The 21425-nt window shown below is 35.6% G+C and overlaps 1 long non-coding RNA gene and 1 pseudogene across 1 annotated transcript in view, besides 1 other annotated feature; one reads left to right on the top strand and one right to left on the bottom strand.

The window, feature by feature from the left end:
• LOC107987059 (uncharacterized) overlaps positions 1-21024 on the top strand; it is a 69745-nt gene extending 48721 nt beyond the window's left edge. Inside the window, exon 3 of the long non-coding RNA XR_001746645.2 lies at positions 20799-21024. This is a non-coding gene — a long non-coding RNA (uncharacterized LOC107987059). The remainder of the gene's footprint in view (positions 1-20798) is intronic.
• On the bottom strand, positions 9612-9746 carry RNA5SP281 (RNA, 5S ribosomal pseudogene 281; annotated as a pseudogene).
• Positions 11430-11929: an enhancer, noted in NCBI's record as "H3K4me1 hESC enhancer chr9:32291373-32291872 (GRCh37/hg19 assembly coordinates)". NCBI's record gives its function as "activates a minimal SCP1, AML or CMV promoter by ChIP-STARR-seq in naive and primed H9 embryonic stem cells {active_cell/tissue: H9 hESC(naive and primed)}" and the evidence as "EXISTENCE:reporter gene assay evidence [ECO:0000049][PMID:30033119]".
• Positions 21025-21425: the final 401 nt, after the last annotated feature.

The raw sequence follows: 21425 nt of genomic DNA, 5'->3' as shown, positions 1-21425 counted from the left end.
CTCTTGATTAAATCTTCATCCATGTCAGTATACTGATTCCTTCCTTCTCTCTTTGCTTCTACAGAAGTTACCAAGGCCATTCATTCTTTTTTGATCTTTCATGTCCACAGTAACAATGTCCACATTGTTACTGTGGACATGAAATTGGAAATGTGGTTGGAACTGGAAAAAGAGTAGGGCTGACATGATTTGATTTATCTTTTTATATCATTGTATTGTATTGTTTCACTGGTTACAACTAGCAAGTGTACTTTGAAAAATGTCAAATGAGGAAAGTGTAGTGGATGTTGCAGAAGCTTCAGTGCACGTTTCTATCCCTGTTTATTTGAGAAAAATATCCTGTTGTTGGCGTGTTGAGTGTTCTATAAATGTCAGTTAGATCTGTTAGTTGACATTGTAGTTAAGTTCTATGTCTGTTTAATAGTTCAATCATTTGTTGAGAGAAGGGTGTTCAATCTCCAGCTATAATTGTGGACTTGCTTGCTTCTCCTTTCAGTTTTATCAGTTCTTGCTTCACTTATTTTACAGTTATGCTTTTTGGTGCATACAAAAACTTAGAATTGCTATGCCTTTTTGGTGGATTGACTCTTTTATCATTATATATTGTCTCTCTTTATCTCTGGTAATTTTCTTTCTTCTACAGTCTACCTTATCTGATATTAATATCACAATTCTTGCTTTATTTTGACTAATTCTTGGTATATTTTTTCCATCACTTAATGTTTAATTTGTTATAATTTTCATGGGCTTTTAAAAAGACAGTGTCTTGGTCTGTTTGTGATGTTATAACAAAATACCTGAAAATTGAGGTTATCATACCTTTTTTGACCTGTTGAATTGCCTTTTTTGTTCTTTGTTAATCTTTTTATTAAAAACTGGGTAATTGAAACTGAACAACAGAAATTTCTCACAGTTCTAGAGACTGGGAAGTCAAAGATCAAGGTGCCAGAAGTTTCAGTATCAAGCAAAGGCCTGGTTTCTGCTTCCAAGATAGCTCTTTGAGTGCTGTGTCCTCACATGGTGGAACAGCAGAAGGGCAAACAAGGACTAAGCCATTTTCTTCAGACGTTTCATAAGGTACTAATATATTGATGGAAGTGGTTCTCTTATGACTTAATCACATCTCAAAAAGCCTCAACTCTTAATAGCACCACAATGAGGATTAAGTTTTAACATGAATTTTGGAGGAGGCAGAAACATTCAAACCATACCAGAGCATAGAATTGTGTCATTCTTATCCATTTTGCCAATTCTTGTATTTTAGCTGGTATATTTAGACCTTTTATATTTAATGTAGTTTTTGACATATTTATGTCTAAGCCTGACATTTAATTATTTATTTTGTTTGTTCTCCCTTTTTTCATTTATCTGTTTTCATTTTCTTTCTTGTGGGTTACTTCAACATATTTTAGAATTTCAATTTGATTTAGGTATAGTGCTTTTGTGTGCATCTACTGGTGTCAACATTTTAGTAGTTAAAGTGAAGAGTACCTTCATTTAGGTGTCTTTGCCCTTCCTCTTTTTAACATAATTGTCTTAAGTAATTCCTCTATATATGTTGAAAATCACATCAGATGATGTTATAAATTTTCTTCAACCATCAAAAGTAATTTAGAAAACTCAGGAGGAAAGTATATTATATTATTTATATTTTATTATTTCTCTTCTTTTTAAATTTATTTCTGATGTTCTAAGCTTGCTTTTATTATCATTTCTTTCTATTTGAAGAATTTTATTATTTTAAGGTAAGACTGCTGATGACAAATTTTCTTAGTTTTTTTAAATCTGAGAATATCTTGATTTCTTGAAAGATATTCTAGAAATCCTGGATTGACAGGTGTTTGGTTTCTTCCCCCAGCTCTTAAAAGATGTTGTGACACTTTCTCCTGGCCTCCATGGTTTCCAGTAAAAATCTACTGTCATCAAAATCATTGTTTCTCTAAGGCAATGCATCGTTTTCCTCTGCTGCATTCAATAAATTTTCTTTATGTCTAGTGTTCAGAAGTTTGATTATAATGTGTTTTGTCATGGATTTATTTGGGTTTATGCTGTTTGAGATTCATTTTGCTTTATGAATCTTTATGTTTATGTCTTTTGCCATATTAGGGAGATGTGTAAGCTCTATTTCCTTTAATACTTTTCCAGTTCCACATTCTTTCTTTTGCCCATCCAGGACTCCAATGAAATGAATGTTAGATCTTTTATTATTCTACAGATCCCTGAGGTTATGTTAATTTTTTCATCTATTTTCTTTATATGTTTAGTTTGGCTCATATTTATTGCTCTGTCTTCAAGTTTATTGACTATTTTCTCTCTCCTCTTTATTCTTCTGTTGAGCCCATTCAATGAGTTTTCTATTTTGGTCATTGTATCTTTCAGTTCTAAAATTTCCATTTGGTTTGTCTTTATATTATTTATTTATATCACTGGAACTTTCTAGTTTGCATTTTTTGTAAGCATATTCATAATTGCTTGTTGAAGGAATTATAGGATGGTCATTAAAAAATTCTCATCAGATAATCTAATATCTGTGTCGTCTTGGTATGGGCATCTGTTAATTGCCTTTTCTCATTCAAATTGAGATTTTCCTTGTTCTTAGTATGACAATAGATTTTCATGTCATTGTATTATGAGATTGTAGATCTTATTTAAATATTCTTTTAGCAGCCTGACCCCAGGAAATACTAATGGGCACAGATCAAAAGCCCTCCTCCTGCAAAGTTTGCTTTCCCTAGATGAAGGACTGGGTAAAGGGCAACTTAGCAAGAGCAAGCTTTTGTCAATAACTGCCTTATTCCAACTAAGCACCAGGGAAACCACAAATCCCCTCTTACTTTAGGCAACAAAGACTGAGTTGGGAGCCCAAACTTTTACTCTCATTTCGTGATATGAAGGCTTTGTATGATTTCTACTCTTCTAAATGTGTTGAAGTTTGTTTTATGGCTCAGAATATGACCTATCTTGGTGTATGTTTTATGTGCACTGGAAAATAATGTGTATTTTTCTATTGCTGGATGGAGGGTCCTATATGTGATTTAGGTCTAGTTGGTTTATAGTGTTTAATTCTGAAGGGAATGTTGACGTTTTCAATTAAAATTGTGGATTTGTTAATTTTCTCTTTCAGTTCCATCAGTTTTTGCCTCTATAATTGGAGCTCTGTTGTTAACTGCATACATAAATTGTTATGTATTCTTGGAGGATTGACATTATATAGTGTTCTCCTTTATTCCTAATGTTATTCATTTTCTGAAGCTTGTTTTGTCTGATAGTAATATAGTTATCCAGCTTTCATTTGTAGAATTTTTGCAAGGTATATCTTTCTCTACCCTTTTCATTTTTACTTATATGTCTTTAAACTTAAAGTCAACTTCTTGTAGATAACATATATTTTGGTCTTGCTTTTTAAATCCAATATGAAATTGTTGTCTTTTAAACTACTCTTCTTAAATCATTCACATTTAATGTGATCATTGATAGAGTTGAATTAAAATGTACCATTTTGCTGGTTATTTTCCACTTCTTCCATCTGTTTCTTTGCTTCCCTGCCCCCTTTTCTACCTAGAGCATTAAAAAAAAATTATTCTGTCTCCTCTACTGACATTATTTGTACCATTAAAAATTTTATTTTCGTTCAACCCAGGGCTTTTGACATATGTATGAAACATATCTTCAAATTATATTATACTGCTCCATGTGTAGCATGAAGACCTTATTACTGTATATTCTCAATTCCTTTTTCCCCATCCTTTGTGCTATTGTCATTTCTTTTACTATTTTTATATGCTATAAACATATAATATATTGCTATTATTTTTGCTACAAAGCAATTAAAAATAAGAAAATATTAATTTAATTTATATTTATCTATTTATTTCCTGTATTTTGATTTCTTTTGTAGATCAAATTTTCATTCTGATTAATTTAAATTTATATTTATCTATTTATTTCCTGTATTTTGATTTCTTTTGTAGATCAAATTTTCATTCTGATTAATTTAAATTTATATTTATCTATTTATTTCCTGTATTTTGGTTTCTTTTGTATATCAAATTTTCTTTCTGATATATTATTTATGCCTGAAGAATTTTTGAATTTCTTTTAAGAATTTTATTACAAGTTGACAAACTATAATTGTATATATTCATGGGGAACACAGTGATGTTATGATTTATACATTCCATGTGGAGTAATTAAGTCAAGCTAATTCACATATCCATTACCTCAAATACGTATCCTTTCTGTGATGAGAACATTTGAAATTTACTCTTTTAGCAACTTAGAAATATATAATACACTATTATTAACTATATTCACTATACTGTAGAATAGATCTAAAGAAACCTTATTCCTCCTGTCTAACTGAGACCTTGTACCCTTTGACTGTCATCTCCCCTACTCCCTAAAACTCCCAGTCTCTGGCAATCACTATTCTACTCTCCACTTCTGCAAATGTCATTGTTTTAGATTCCACATAGAAATGAGAACATGCAATATTTGTCTTTCTGTGCCTGGCTTATTTTGCTTAACACAGTGTCCTCCAGGCTCACTTGTGTTTTTGTAAATGACAGAACTCCTTTCTTTTTAAAGGCTGTATAGTATTCTATTGTGTGTATACACCACACCTTCTTTATCCACTCATCTGTTGGTGGAAACTTAGGTTGATTTCACAACTTGGCTATTGTGACTAGCGCTGCAATAAACATGGGAGTGCAGACATCTCTCTGACAAATTGATTTCAAATCAATTGAGGATAGAATCTTCCAAAACGGCTGTACAAATTTATATTTCTACGAACAGTGTACAAGGAGAAATTTAATATTTCTTGTACAGTAGGTCTGCTGGAAACAAGTTTCCTCAGTTTTTGTTTAAAAAGTCTTTATTTTTCCTTCATTTTTGAAAAATGTTTTTGCTGGGTATAGATTTTTGGGTTGAGAGATTTTTCTTTCACCACTTTAATGGTATTGTCTTCTGGCTCAGATGTTTCTGATAAGAAGTTTGTTGTAATTATTATGTTTATTCATCTATATATAAAGTTTCTTTTATATTTGATTGTCTTTCAAGAATTTCTCATTGTCTTTGTTTTAGCAGTTTGAATATGTTATGTCTAGATCTTTTTTTGTTTTGGTATTTATCATGGTTGGTATTTTCTGAGTTTCTTAGATATACTGTTTCATGGCTGTTATAAATTTTAGAAAACTCTTGGTCATTATTTCTTTGCATATATTCTTCTGCCCCTTTTTCTCTTTCTTGTCCTCCAGAATATTACTGCCTAGCTCTTGGATTTTCTATTCTTTTGAAAGTTTATATTCATTTTTTTTCCTTGCGGGATTTCATTTGTGGTAATTGCTCTTACTTACCTTTCTTCAAGTCTATTTGTGTTGAGTCTACAAATGAGCTGTTAAAGATGTTATTTGTCTCTGTTATGGTTTTATATTTTTTCTATCACCTCTCTGATGAAATTACCCCTCTGATCTTGGATGTGTTCTACTTTTCAATTAGAACCTTTAACATATCAATCAAAGTTGTTTTAAATTCCCTTTCAAATAGCTCCAGTGTCTGGGGAAGAAGCTAGGTTTTGCATAGGGCTTTGAGAAGTGTTCTGAGCTGTTTATCGCTATGTAAGTTCATAGAGAATCATCACGGACCAGCAAACTCACTTGGCTACCTTGCCAGAAGTAAAACTGAAATAATAAGGCAGAAGAAACACTCTGATACTCTCTCTGTTAGAATATGATTCTCACTAGAATACTCAAATGTGGTAAGGCTAATTTCACAACTCTAAATTCATACTCTCCTAATCACAAGAGCTTTACCCCTCCTCTAGCTCCTATATAAATGTTCTGAGCATTAATGTAAGTATAATTTTTGAGGGTATTAAATCTTCTTTTCTTTTTGACCCAATTTGTTAGAAATGCTTCTTTTTCCCTGTCATAATCTTCCCTCACTTATTTCCACAGGAAATATTTCTTTAGAAAATGCTCTAAGGCTCCAGTGCATGGCCAGGCAACTAACACCAAGATTTAAAAAATACGGTGATGTTTTTAATCTCTAAAACAGTGATCCTCAAAAATTATGTGGGTGGCTTTGAGATAAATACACACACACACACACACACACACACACACACACACACACAAATAATGTGACAGTGCTTTCCAAAAAGTCTTGGAATATTTTGCTTATTTTGGTATTAAGGAGTATGTTCTTACTAGAGACTATTTTTTTGAAATGTTAATAATATAGGCTTTATTTCAGAAGGTATTTTCATCCACCCATGTATCTACTCACTTATCTACTCATCCATTCATTTATTCACAAACATTTTCTGAATGCCTGACAAATACTTCATACATAATACAAAGATGCTGCTTGCAGGAAGTTTATCATTTACTAGAGGAGATAAGATATAATAATAAGCAAGAATAATACACAATAAAGTGTGACATTCTTATTTCCTCCTAGAAGCAGAGCCCATGTGGAACACCTGTTTGCCCTTTCAATTGCTAACTAATTTTCTGCATGCATTGTCTCCTGTGTTCAGTTGCACAACTTATATTCACTCAGAATGAAGTTGCTGTTTTTCCTTTCATGTTCTCTGGGGTTCAGTATCTCTCTCTGATGTACATACACAATCCCAATAATATTTATGAGAGTTATGAGCGCCAGCAGGAGGTTCTGCCCCTGAAGCTGTTGGAAGGCATTTGAACAGCTTTTCAGTGAAGATTAATGGTTACAGAAAAGAAAAAAAAAACTTGATTTGTCAGGTGGAAGTTAACTTGAAGGGATATAACAGAAAAAAGCCAGTGAGGACACTTCTCAAGCGAGGTGTGTTTGAGGAGTTTATGTTAAAACTGAAGCTTTGATGAATTGCATGGATAATGCTACTGACAGGAAGATGTCAAAGTTTGTGAATAACAACAGAGAAAATAATAAGAGTTACTATTCTAGAATGTCAAGGCACACCAACAATTTGTTTGTCCAAGAGAATAGTAAGCAAATGCATTTTCCTGGATTAAATTCACTTGCCAAGATAGATATAAAACTGTCCCAAGTGGAAATGTGTTGCTATAAAGAAGATGCAGATTAAACTTTTAATAAGGATTCAGGCTTTCAACCTTCCTGTGAACATAAGATCCTGCAATTAAACAGAATTTCACTCTTTCTGTCTTTTTGATCTTCCCATCTCTTTAAGTTGTGAATGTAAATGGAAAAACAATTAGAATGAAGAATGAAATTAAGTAGAGCTTCAGTCCTAGAATTTTAGTTATTCTCCAAATACATACTGTATTTTGATCATTCCTCAAAACATTATTCAGACAAATTTCACCATTTGATTTCCTTGGAATCTTGCATCTTCTTATTGTGGCTAAGAAGCTTATGCTTCCTTAGACATAAGCTTCTGACAAGGCCTTCTGTAAACTTTGATTCAAAAAACAATTCAGTGCTACACCTAAGGGTCCCTCATTTTCTCACTAATTTTAGTCATCTGGGACCTCAGACATTCTGCTTAATTCTACGCTGTAGAATGCTTCAAGGAAGAACCAGGCGGAGTGACATCATCTTTACAATTAAAACAGAGTACTCTATCACTCCTCCAGCTATCAATATAGTCTACCTAAGAAAGGTTATCACCTGAGCCAGGATCTGTAGCCACTTGAGACAGGTCCTCATCCTTTCAGAACAAGCTACTCTGGAGGGAGAGCAGTGTTCTGGAGGGAGAGCAGTGCCAATATGGATCTGAGCAGATGGTTCCCCTGCCTCTCAGAGATGGTCTGGTTTTTGTGATTTTGACAGATCTTTAAAAAAATTCTTAAACAATTCTCTCTGACTAATACATTTGAAAAGCAATTATTTCTACAGGCTATGAATCTATATGTTCTCATGAACTGTATTGAGGTTTATATATTTAAGGGCAGAAATAAATACTAGGTAGGCTTAGAAAATTGTCTAACATTAGAAACTAACTGCACACAAGGATTTAATGATATTTTTCAGGTTTTGGGTTTGGGCAAAAAGCTCTGAGTGATTGTAACACCCTATATATTTCAACAAGAATTTGCTGTGAAATCTAGGAGGACTAGGAATTTCTCTCTAAGCATAATAGTTAAGTAATCAAAACAACAGCTGATATGTACTACTACTAATATGGTACTATTTTCATTTAACTTTTACAATAACTCTAGAGGTTAAGTATTATTTTCCTAACACACATTGTATAGGGTTACAAAAGGTTAAGTGATTTGTGAAGTCACATGGATTTTAATTATTCAGTAGAAATTCAAATCCATACTTTTAGGCCCTTAACTATTTTATATTGCCTCCTCAGTGCTGCTAATTCAGTGTTGAAACTTAAAGAAAAATGTATCATCTTAGACTCTCATTAAATATCTTTTAATATCTAGATTTTGCTATTTGTTTCTTGAACAATAGCCCAAGGTAGGATTATTCACACACAAATAATTTTGGATATTGGGGGCATTTGCAGAAAGTGCCAGGCACGCATTGCTTAGGGTACAAATATTTTTTTCTTTTGTTCTTGGAGTAATTTATGCCCTAATGTTGTGTATAAGGAGACTTCAAAAAGTTCATAGAAAACTAGAATTAAAAGATAAAAATAAAAGCCTAAACTTTATTTCTGAACATAGCTCTGTCAAATTCAAGACACTTTTATTAGTGATAATACCAGCTGTTTAGTCCATCCCCCAAAAGAACTGAAAGTGCTGGGAATTTAATCGTGCCAATGCAGTCTTTTTTACATTATTAACTGCAGAAAAATTGGCATCGTTTACGATTAGAAAACAAAAAGAAGTCAGAGGGAGCCAAACCAGGACTATAAATTGCAAAATTGCCCTTGTTTGATGAGAAGGATGAGCGGGAGCATTGGCATGGTGGAGAATGACTCTCGGTGAAGCTTTCCCAGGCATTTTTCTGCTAAAGATTTGGCTTTCTCAAAACACTTTCATAATAAACAGATGTTATCTTTCTTTGGCCCTGCAGAAAAAGTCAACAGCAAAATGCCTTGAGGATCCCTAGAAACTGTTGACATGACCTTTGCTTTTGATTGGTCTGCTTTTGCTTTGACTGAACCACTTCCACTTCTGGTAGCCAATGCTTTGTATTTCATCTTCAAGATCATATCAGTAAAGCCATGTTTCACTTGCTGATACAATTCTTTGAGAAAATAGTACAGGATCTTGATCCCACCTGTTTAAAATGTCCACTGACAGCTCTACTTTTGTCTGCAGCTGATCTAGGCACAATGGTTTTGGCACTCATTGAGTGGAAAGTTTGCTCAACTTCAGAATTGTGTGAGCTGAACCAGTTGAGCTGTCTATGGCGTTGGCTGTTATGTGTGCTGTTAATTATTTGTCCTCTTCAGTTAGGGCACAAATAGATTAATCTTTTCCTTCCAGATTTATGTGGTTGGTCTGCTGCTATGAGTGTCATTGTCAACATTGTTTCATCTCCTCTTAAAATGAGTTATCCATTTGTAAACTTCTTTGAGGGACTTTTCACCATAAGCTTTTCATACAGCATCAATGATTTCATCACTCTTTCACCCAAACATTACTAGAAATTTGGTGTTTGTTCTTGCTTCAATTTTAGCAGAATTTATACTGCTCTGATAGGGGCTCTTTTCAAACTGATGTCTTATCCTTCTTACAAAGTACTAATCAGGACCATCCCTGCTTAGCTTCTGAGGCCAGACAAGGATTGGGCACATTCAAGCTGGTATGGCTGTAGACTGTCTTATTCTTCTTAGTGCCTCAAACTAGATCCTGTTCAGATATGTTATATATAACAAGTTAGTATGAGTTTATTTTGGTGCAAAAAATTTGAAATACACTTGTAGTTTTTCCATAATTTGCATTTGCCATGAACCTTTTGAAGACTCCTCGTGTGTGTGTTTGTGTGTGTGTGTGTGTGTGTGTGTGTGTGTGTGTAAAACTGAGGGCATATTAAAAAGCAGTTAAAATCCTGGCAGTAAAATTCATGGCAAATAGTAGACCAAAGGGTTGTAATGTTGTAATGGGGGTAAATTAACTGCAAAATGAGAGAACAAGAGAGCTTAATTTTGCATTTGGCAGTGTTTTCAATTCCTTTTTATTCAATTTAGATTTCCTCTATGTTTTAAATGTTTTTGGCCACATTTACTGCTCTATAGTTAAGAGGCTTGCTGATTTTAGCTTCATGGCTTTCCTTGACTTACACCAGAATTTTGTAGTTAAATTCCTATGGTGCATTGAAATTTTAGGTATTAATATACCTGCATTATTTCTAAATTAAATACATTTTTCCTGATCTTAGAAGGCTTACAAAAAAGTTAGTGCCTTGTACTGGAAAATGCTCAGCAAATCTTCCTAAACCTGTGTAAAGGCTGCCTCTGAAGAGCAGAAAGTGCCCCACTGGGTCATATTTGAATTTGCCATCCATGTACTCATTGCGAGGTTTGGATCTAGCTCAGGATTGTTAAGATTCTTTTCCTTGGCTGTCACGAAATGTTGGTTAAAGTTCTGTTTGGCTTCCACTGGTTGGCCAGCTTTTGGAAGTGGTATGCCTGCTCTTCATCTGTGGGATGACATTTAAAATATTATATACCAGAAGTACATTTTAATATCTAGAAGATATTTTTGAGGAAGAAGGCCTTCTCAGCTGGGCTATACTACTACTTGCTATAACTCAAGTTTGTTTTCTTCTCAGGCAGTTGCCTCCCCTTTTGTAAGACACACTCATTTTACATACTTATTTTTAACATCATAAATTATATTTATTCACTGTTTGTTCTACTATGCTGCATTTATTGAGGCCATAGCCCAAGATCTGACCATTGTAGGTAAACAACAAATATAAACTGAATGCCAGAAATAGTGAAAAAGCCTAGCGTTGGCAAGGATGTAAAAAAAGTGAATGCTTTCATACTGTTCTGGTAGGAATGTATTTGGCATAAACTTTATAGAGGGAAACTGGCAAGGTGTGACAAAGTCTTTAACAGGTTCCTTTGAAACTTTAGGGATCTGTCTTATAAAAAAAATCAGATATTTAATCAAAGATTTTTGTAAAAGACATTTATCACAATATTATTTATAATAGTTAAAAAGTAACAGCAACCAAAATATCTAATAATATACTAACATGCAGTCATTTAAAAAGACATTTGGGGAGATATTTCATAGAAGCTTAATGATGTTGTTAAAATTAAAAATGTGTATAATTTAGGGCGATCATCATGGCAGATGGGAGGCAGGACTAGATTGCAGCTCCAGACAGAGCAGCTTGCGGAAGCTCACATTGTGAATTTTAGCTCCAGTTCAACTGCAAGAACAAACCAGCAATCCCAAGAGAACCCACAGACCCTCTGAAAGAAGTGGACTGCTCCTGCAGGACCTGGGAGACACTCCAAATACTGTGAGTGCCCCGACTGCAGAAGTGGGAAAAGGAGACCCTCCTCTCCTGAACACACATCCCCAACTGGAGAACCTGAAGGTCTGTTTGCAGAAGTTTCCAACTACCTGGAGCTGAGTCAATTTGGAGAGCTGAGTGAAATACAAGGTTAGAGGAAGCAGCAGAAAGGCCCTGGGACCTTGCTTGTCCCCTAGCAGGCCATTCCTGCCTGGCACCACAGGAATCCATTGGGAGGGAGACCAGAGGAGCAGGGGGTAAAATTCCACAGGGAGAAGGCAATCTCTAGCTGAACTTTGTAACAATTTGAACAGGATGAGAAGCCTCCTGGCCAGAACCTGGGGGAGGGCACAAATCTGGTTTGCAGACTCCACAGGTGGGGGAAGAACCAAGCCCTTTTCTCTCTCAGTTGCGAGGCGGGTAGCCTGGGGCAAGTTTTCAAGCCCATCACACCCTTCACCTGGAAACAGACTCGGGACTATTGGGGTGGGGCCATGGTGGGAGAGTGACTGACCCTTCAGTTTGCATGGGAGCTGGGTGAGGCCTGTGACTGCTGGCTTTCCCCGACTTCCCTGACCACCTGCATGACTCAGAAAAGGTAGCCATAATCCTTGTAGGTACACAACTCCATTGACCTGGGAATCTCACCCCCATGCCCCACAGCAGCCCCAGCAGGACCCACTCAAGGAGAGTCTGAGCTCAGACATGCCTAGCCCTGCCCCCACCTGATGGTCCTTCCCTACCCACCCTGGTAATGGAAGACAAAGGGCATATAATCTTGGGAGTTCTAGGGCCCTGCTCACTGCCTGTCCCGCTCCATACTACTATAGCTGATGCTTTCTGGAAAGTGCCACCTCCTGGCAGGAGGCCAACCAGCACAAAAATAGAGCACTAAACCACCAAAGCTAAGAACCCTCACAGAGTCCATTGAACCCACCTCACCACCTCCACTGGAACAGCAGCTGGTATCCATGACTGAGAGACCCATAGATGGTGGTTGGTGCAGACAACCCCCAATACCAGCTTGGAGCCGGGTAGACTTGCTGGGTGGCTAGTCCCAGAAGAGAGACAATAATCACAGCAGTTTGGCTCACAGGAAGCCACAACCATAGGAAAAAGGGGAGTACTACATCAAGAGAACACCCCATGGAACAAAAGAATCTGAACAACAGCTTTCAGCCCTAGACCTTCCCTCTGACAGAGCCTACCCAAATGAGAAGTCACCAGAAAATCAACCCTGTTAATATGACAGAGCAAGGCTCTTCAACACTGCCAAAAAATAACACTAGTTCACCAGCAATGGATCCAAACCAAGAAGAAATCCCTGATTTACCTGAAAAAGAATTCAGGAGGTTAGTTACTAGGCTAATCAGGGAGGGACCAGAGAAAGGCAAAGCCCAATGCAAGGAGATTCAAAAACATGATACAAGAAGTGAAGGGAGAAATATTCAAGTAAATAGCTTAAAGAGAAAACAATAAAAAAATTCAGGAAACTTTGGACACACTTTTAGAAATTTGAAATGCTCTGGAAAGTCTCAGAAATAGAATTAAACAAGTAGAAGAAAGAAATTCAGAGCTCAAAGACAAGGTCTTCGAATTAACCTGATCCAACAAAGACAAAGAAAAAAGAATAAGAAAATATGAACCAAGTCTCCAAGAAGTCTGGGATTATGTTAAATGACCAAACTTAAGAATAGTCAGTGTTGCTGAGGAAGAAGAGAATTCTAAAAGCTTGGAAAACATATTCTGGGGAATAATTGAGGAAAACTTCCTGGCCTTGCTAGAGACCCAGATATCAATACACAAGAAGATCAGAGAACACCTGAAAAATTCATCACAAAAAGATCTTCGCCTAGGCACATTGTCATCAGGTTATCCAAAGTTAAGGCGAAGGAAAGAATCTGAAGAGGTATGAGACAGAAGCATCAGGTAACCCATAAAGGAAAAGCTATCAGATTAACAGCAGATTTCTCAGCAGAAACCCTACAAGCTAGAAGGAATTGGGACCCTATCTTCAGTCTTCTCAAACAAAACAATTATCAGCCAAGAAGTTTGTATCCAGTGAAACTAAGCATTATATATCAAGGAAAGATATAGTCATTTTCAGAAAACAAATGCTGAGAGAATTCGCTATTACCAATCCACCACTACAAGAACTGCTAAAAGGAGCTCTAAATCTTGAAACAAATTCTAGAAATACATCAAAACAGAACCTCTTTAAAGCATAAATCACACAGGAGCTATAAAACGAAAATACATGTTAAAAAGCAAAAACAAACAAACAAAAATCCCAAAGGTAACAAAGAGCATGATGAATGCAACAGTACCTCATATTTCAACACTAACATTGAATGCAAATGGCCTAAATGCTCCACTTAAAAGATACAGAACTGCAGAATGGATAAGAACTCATCAATACCAACTATCTGCTGTCTTCAGTAGACTCATCTAACACATAAGGACTCATATAAACTTAAAGTAAAGGGGAGGAGAAAGGCATTTCATGCAAATAGACGCCAAAAGTGAGCTGGGATAGCTACTCTTATATCAGACAAAACAAACTTTAAAGCAACAGCAGTTAAAAGAGTCATAGAAGGACATTATATAGTGGTAAAAGGCCTTGTCCAACAGGAAAATATCACAATCCTAAACATATATGCACCTAACACTGGAGCTCCCACATTTATAAAACAATTACTAATAGACCTAAGAAATGAGATAGAAAGCAACCGAATAATAGTGGGGGACTTCAATACTCCACTAACAGCACTAGCCAGTTTATCAAGACAGAAAGTTAACAAAGAAACAATGGATTTAAACTATACTTTGGAACAAATGGACTTAATAGATATATACAGAACACTTCATACAAGAGCCACAGAATACACATTCTATTCAACAGTGCATGAAACTTTCTCCATGATAGACCATATGATAGGCCATATAATGAGCCTCAATAAATTTAAGACAATTGAAATTATATCAAGCACTCTCTCAGACCACGGTGGAATAGAACTGGAAATCAACTCCAAAAGGAAGCTTCAGAACCATGCAAATACGTGGAAATTAAATAACCTGCTCCTGAATGAATATTGCATCAGAAATGAAATCAAGATGATAATTAAAAAATTCTTCAAAGTAAATGACAATGACACAACCTATCAAAACCTCTGGGATACAACAAAGGCAGTGGTAAGAGGAAAGTTTATAGCCCTAAGCTTAGTGCACAAACTGACATTGTAAGGTCATAACTCAAGGAACTAGAGAAACAAGAACAAACCAAACCCAAATCCAGCAGAAGAAAGGAAGTTACCAAGATCAGAGCAGAGCTAAATGAAATTTAAACAACAACAAAAAAATACAAAAGATAGATGAAACAAAAAGTTAGTCCTTTGAAAAGATAAATAAAATTGATAGACCATCAGCAAGATTAACCAAGAAAAGAAGAGAGAAAATCCAAATAACCTCACTAAGAAAGGAAATAGGACATATTACAACTGACACCACTGAAATACAAAAGTTCATTCAGGGCTACTATGAACACCTTTACACACATAAACTAGAAAATCTAGAAGAGATGGATACATTCCTGGAAAAATATAACCCTCCTAGCTTAACTCAGGAAGAATTAGATGCCCTGAACAGACCAATAACAAGTAGCGAGATTGAAATGGTAATTAAAAAATTACCAACAAAAAAAGTCCAGGACTGGATGGATTCAGAGAATTCTAACAGACATTCAAAGAAGAATTGGTACCAATCCTTTTGACACTATTCTACAAGATAAAGAAAGAAGGAACCCTCCCTAATTCATTCTATGAAGCCAGCATCACCCTAATACCAAAACCAGGGAAGGACATGACCAAAAAAGAAAACTATACACTGATATCCTTGATGAACATTGATGCGAAAATCCTTAACAAAATACTAGCTAACTGAATCCAACTGCATATCAAAACGATAATTCACCATGATCAAGTGGGTTTCATACCAGGGATGCAGGGATGCTTTAACATACACAAGTCAATAAATGTGATACACCACATAAACAGAAATAAAAACAAAAATCTCACAATCATCTCAATAGATGTTGAAAAAGCATTCAACAAAATCCAGCATCCCTTTATGATTAAAACTCTCAGAAAAATCGGCATACAAGGGACATACCTCAATGTAATAAAAGCCATCTATGACAAACCCACAGCCAACATAATACTGAATGGGGAAAAGTCGAAAGCATTCCCTCTGAGAACTGAAACAAGACAAGAATGCCCACTCTCACCACTCCTCTTCGACATAGTACTGGAAGTCCTAGCCACAGCAATCAGACAAGAGGAAGAAATAAAGGGCATCCAAATCAGTAAAGAGGAAGTCAGACTGTCAGTGTTTGCTGACGATATGATCGTTTATTTGAAAACCCTAAGGACTCCTCCAGAAAGCTCCGAGAACTGATAAAAGAATTCAGCAAAGTTTCCAGATACAAGATTAATGTACACAAATCCGTAGCTCTTCTATACACCAACAACAACGAAGCAGAGAATGAAATCAAGAACTCAACCACTTTTACAATAGCTTCAAGAAAAAAAAATACATAAGAATATAGCTAAGAAAGGAATTGAATGACCTCTACAAGGAAAACTACAAAACACTGCTGAAAGAAATCATAGACAACACAAACAAATGGAAACACATCCCATGCTCATGGATGGGTAGAATCAATATTGTGAAAATGACCATACTGCCAAAAGCAATCTACAAATTCAGTGCAATCCCTATCAAAATACCACCATCATTCATCTTTAGAATTCGAAAAAAAATTATAAAATTCATATGGAACCAAAAAAAGAGCCTGCATAGCCTAATCAAAAAGAAGCAAGACTAATCAAAAAGAGCAAATCTGGAAACATCACACTACCTGATTTCAAACTGTACTATAAGGCCATAGTCACCAAAACAGCATGGTACTGCTATACAAATAGGCACATAGACCAATGGAATAGAATAGAGAACCCAGAAATAAACTCAAATACAACCAACTGATCTTAGACAAATCAAACAAAAACATAAAGTGGGAAAAAGACACCCTTTTCAACAAACGGTGCTGGGATAATTGGCTAGCCACATGTAGGAGAATGAAACTGGATCCTCATCTCTCACCTTATACAAAAATCAACGCAAGATGGATTAAGGACTTAAACCTAAGACCTGAAACTATAAAATTCTAGAAGATAACTTTGGAAAAACCCTTCTAGTCATTGGCTTAGGCAAGGATTTCATGACCAAGAACCCAAAAGCAAATGTGATAAAAACAAAGATAAATAGCCGGGACCTAATTAAACTAAAGAGCTTTTGCATGGCAAAAGGAACAGTCAGCATAGTAAACAGACAACCCATAGAGTGGGAGAAAATCTTCACAATCTATACATCTGGCAAAGGACTAATATCCAGAATCTACAACAAACTCAAACAAATCAGTAAGAAAGAAACAATCCCATCAAAAAGTGGGCTAAGGATATGAATAGACAATTCTCAAAAGAAGATATACAAATGGCCAACAAACACATGAAAAAATGTTCAACATCACTAATCATCAGGGAAATGCAAATCAACACCGCAATGCAATACCATCTTACTCCTGCAAGAATGGCCATAATAAAAAAATCAAAAAACAGTAGATGTTGGCATGGATGTGGTGAACAGGGAACACTTCTACACTGCTAGTGGGAATGTAAGCTAGTAGAGCCACTATGGAAAACGTGTGGAGATTCCTTAAAGAACTAAAAGTAGAACTACCATTTGATCCAGCAGTCTCACTACTGGGTATTTACGCAGTCTACCAAGAGGAAAAGAAGTCATTATTCAAAAAAGATACTTGCACACTCATGGTTTATAGCAGCACAATTCACAATAGCAAAATCGTGGAAGCACCCCATTAATCAATGAGTGGATAAAGAAACTGTCATACATATATATATATACACGTATATATATGTATATATATATACGTGTATATATATATACATATATATGTGTATATATATACACATATATATGTGTATATATATGTGTGTATATATATACACATATATGTATATATACATGTGTATATATATGTGTATATATGTGTATATATATATGTATATATACACATATATACATACACATATATATATTTATATATATAAAATGGCATACTACTCAGCCATAAAAAGGAATGAATTAACAGCATTTGCAGTGTCCTGGATGAGACTGGAGACTATTATTCTAAGTGAAGTAACTCAGGAATGGAAAACCAAACAATCGTCTGTTCTCACTGATATGTGGGAGCTAAGCTATGAGGATGCAAAGGCATAAGAATGATACAATGGACTTTGGGGACTTGTGAGGAAGAGTGAGGGGGCGAGGGATAAAAGACCACAAATATGGTGCAGTGTGTACTTCTCGGGTGATGGATGCACCAAAATCCACAAATCACCACCAAATAACTTACTCATGCCACCAAATACCACCTGTACTCCAATAACTTATGGAAAAAATATGTGTATAATTTAATAATTTTGAATTTATAGAAAAACTACATATATATGTATATCATTTGAAGAAAATTGGGAATAAATATAGCCAAATGGTTAGAGAGGTTATCTATGGGTGATAATAATATGTGTGATTTTGATGGACTTTTTTTCTATGCTCACTTTTTTCCTCCAAAATTGTTTGCAATGAGTATATAATATTTTATGATTAGTTAAATGTATTATATTTAAAATAACTTTATGAGAATAGCTATTTAATTTATTTAATATTTCTTCTGGGCTCGATAAACTTTGAATAATGATATGTATAATTTAGAAAGCAAGGTTAGAATTTGAAAATTGTTTTGGACTATTTGTTGGTCATTCAGTAATAGAATATCCAACAGAACAAATGTTTCTCAAAAACCTTAATAAAATCCAGGCTTCTTTCATGTTGTCTCTTTCAGCAGTGTAAAATAATTATATTTACGGTTACGAACAATTCTTTCATTTAAATGTCAATCAGCTCTATATTCTTACATTAATAAAAGTCTTCAAAGTGAAAAGAGGTTGGTCCAACCAAATCATGCATCATACTGACATTGATCCTGCAGGTGCTGAATACTCAGCTCTATCCGACTCTGGTAGCTTTCATGAAGAGAAGGTATATTTCTGGAAATACACATTCGTTGAAGAAAATGTAGTATTTTTAGACATGCCCCATAGTCTATGTGGATGACATTTTCTAATGCTGTCAGTGTATAAACTGTACAAACATACACAGCAGTCCTGAATGCTAAGTGATCGTGTTGTCAAACTGAAATTGCCAACACAGTTAAGATAATGAGCACAGGTTTTGAAAAAGAAACATGCATAACTGAGAATGGCTACAGATGAAAATGGCTTAGATTCTCAAAGATGGCGTCACTTAAATTTTGGTTTGATACTGAAGAATAGAGTGATGTATAATTGTATGAATACATATTGCTCTAAAACATTAGCATTTTAAAAATTTGCATTACATTCACTGTTTCTACGTTCATATATGATTGGCTGCATATTAGATGAAGAATACAGTGAAAGCTGGCATTTAATCCTTGCAGTACTATTTCCTCATTTTGCAAGTGAGTAAACTGAACCTCAGAAATGTTGATTAACTTGCTGAAGGTCACACAGCTCTTATGTGATAAAGCCAAGATTCAAATTAAGCTTGACATACAAGCTATCAGGCTTAACCTATATATCATCTCACCCTTTTGAGGAAACTTGACTCAAAGGCACAGAATAGCTTCTTCCACCTGCACAAGGAGAGCTAGTTCCTCATTGATAAGCTCAAGTCTAAGGTAGGCAAAAGGGCAAGACCTTGGGGAAAAAAAGCAATGACACTAACTTTGATTCTGCCCCTGTGGCTATAAGAAATTTTCTAAGGCTAAGTAGGATCAGATTTTCTGGTTTGGTTGAAGCAGTAGAGACAAGTGTGGTAGAAGAAAAGGTAGCATCCTTTATTTCTGTTTGGAGCCTGGCCTTCCAGATAGGGCCTTCCCACTGATAAAGGGAGAGCTGTCCAAGTCATTAAGGCTTCATCTAGGAAAAGAATTATCCTGCATTTTGGAATTAGTTGCATGTTCTTTGGGTTGGTGGTACAGAACTAGTTGGACCCATAATTAGTGTACTGGGGACACAGAGTTCTCTTGGCAACAATTGAAAACATATGAAAACCTTGCAACTTCTCTGTTCTCATGTTCATCTGCAAGTGTGATGGACACACTGTAATCTTATAGCCTGTGAAGGAGAACCTTGTACATGCCTTTTCTCCTAAACATTATTCCCTTGCTTGCTTCCTGCTATTTTTCTGCCAACATTACTTGCCGTGAATTATCTGCTGGCTTTCTGCCTTCTGCCTGCTAGTGCCAGGTGTTGTGCACACATGGGGGTCTGCACTTGCTGCAGTGAAAGGCTAAGGTGCTCATCTGCACAGCTGGCTACAGGGAGATCTCCAGAGAAACACAGACCAAGAAGAAAGCTTGCCAGGGATCCTTAATGCAGCCAGGCTGGGTGCCCTGGCCAGAGCCTGGGGCCTGTGTTGATCTCACTTAAGGGATACAAATCCAATGAAAAGAGGTGTTGGTACTCCTTTTTCTTTTTTCTTACAAATAGATTAATTAATGGAGCATGAAGCACGCTGACTAAAAATTACCTTTGAATGATAATGGGAGTTTTTTTCTTCTTAATTTGTGAAGCCTTTGTTTCTAGAAATAAGGCATGTTTTATTGTTGTTAATGCTTAAAAACAGCTGAGTAAGAACCTGCATTGTTTCGTGTTTATTAAAAAAAACTTTCCTTGGCAATGATCAATTTGAGTATGACCACAATGGTGCACAGAAAAATTAACTCATATTTTGCCTTGAAGGAGCTCCAACACATAGGTTCTACCATACTATGTGATTTTTATTGATAAGAAAGATAAAAATGTTATAATAATTTATTTGTGGATTATTGCTTGGTTGATAGAAAACTATCTTGCAGGTGTTTTTAAAAATAATGTATTCAGGGGGAAAGTTAAGCTGTTGTACACTATCTACTAATAGGAAAATGGATGATAGATTAAACAAGAGTTACTTCTCAGGGTACCTATTAAATATTTATGCAGGACACAGCAAATAAGCATAATAAAAATGAGCTTTGGCACATTAGCTGCACAATTTATCTTTAAAACACTTCACACAAACAAGTGAATTAATCCTCCCACCCTCTACATGACAAAGTTAAAAAATTATTACCCCCCTTTTGGTTTAACAACTTAATTTTATTTAAATAACTTTTAGTTTGAATGTTTTTGATTCTACACGATGCCTTCCTTAGTGACAGATTCATCATTGTCTTCCAGGAGACCCATCTGATGAAGTGGCACTCCCAAAGAAAAGATAAAGTCAAATCTGGCTGGCCAGTTACAACTTCAGAGCTCTTTCATAACTTTCTGAGGTTGTAGATAAATTGGACCTTCGCAGAAGACCGTGGCTGTGGACAAGTAAACAATTCCTATCATACATTTCTCACTGGAGGGAAAGTTAAAAGTTAGATTCAATAAAAGTGACCGCCATGACTTAACTAAACCATCCAGCATCTCCTTGCCGACAGCCTGCCTTATATTTACATGAAAGGATTTCCTGCCAGTTTATCATCTTAGTCTTAATACCTAGGCCTTTATCCCCTCATCTCTATCCTACCAATTGCCTGTCTTTTCATTTTGCACAGATGGAATGGGCAATTGAAGAAGTAAGGCATCATTACCTTCTTCTTTTTAAAGATGTAGGGAGTGAGCACCAGGTTCTGTTCTCAGCAAACCTCTTTAATCCTAGTGGGGTTGGTTATAGCAACTTCAAGCCTACCTGACTCCAGTTTTCTCTTCCAAATCAATCTTTAATCCTCAAAAAGGTTGATTTGATTGCACAGTCCTTGCTTACTGTATTTCAATGGTTCCCTAGGGTTTTCATATTATAGCTGGAGTTCCTTA

Source organism: Homo sapiens, chromosome 9, assembly GCF_000001405.40.
Source record: "Homo sapiens chromosome 9, GRCh38.p14 Primary Assembly".
Classification (NCBI taxonomy): Eukaryota; Metazoa; Chordata; class Mammalia; order Primates; family Hominidae; genus Homo; species Homo sapiens.
Note: the sequence above shows the minus strand (reverse complement) of the source record. Positions and strands in the feature narration are given on the sequence as shown.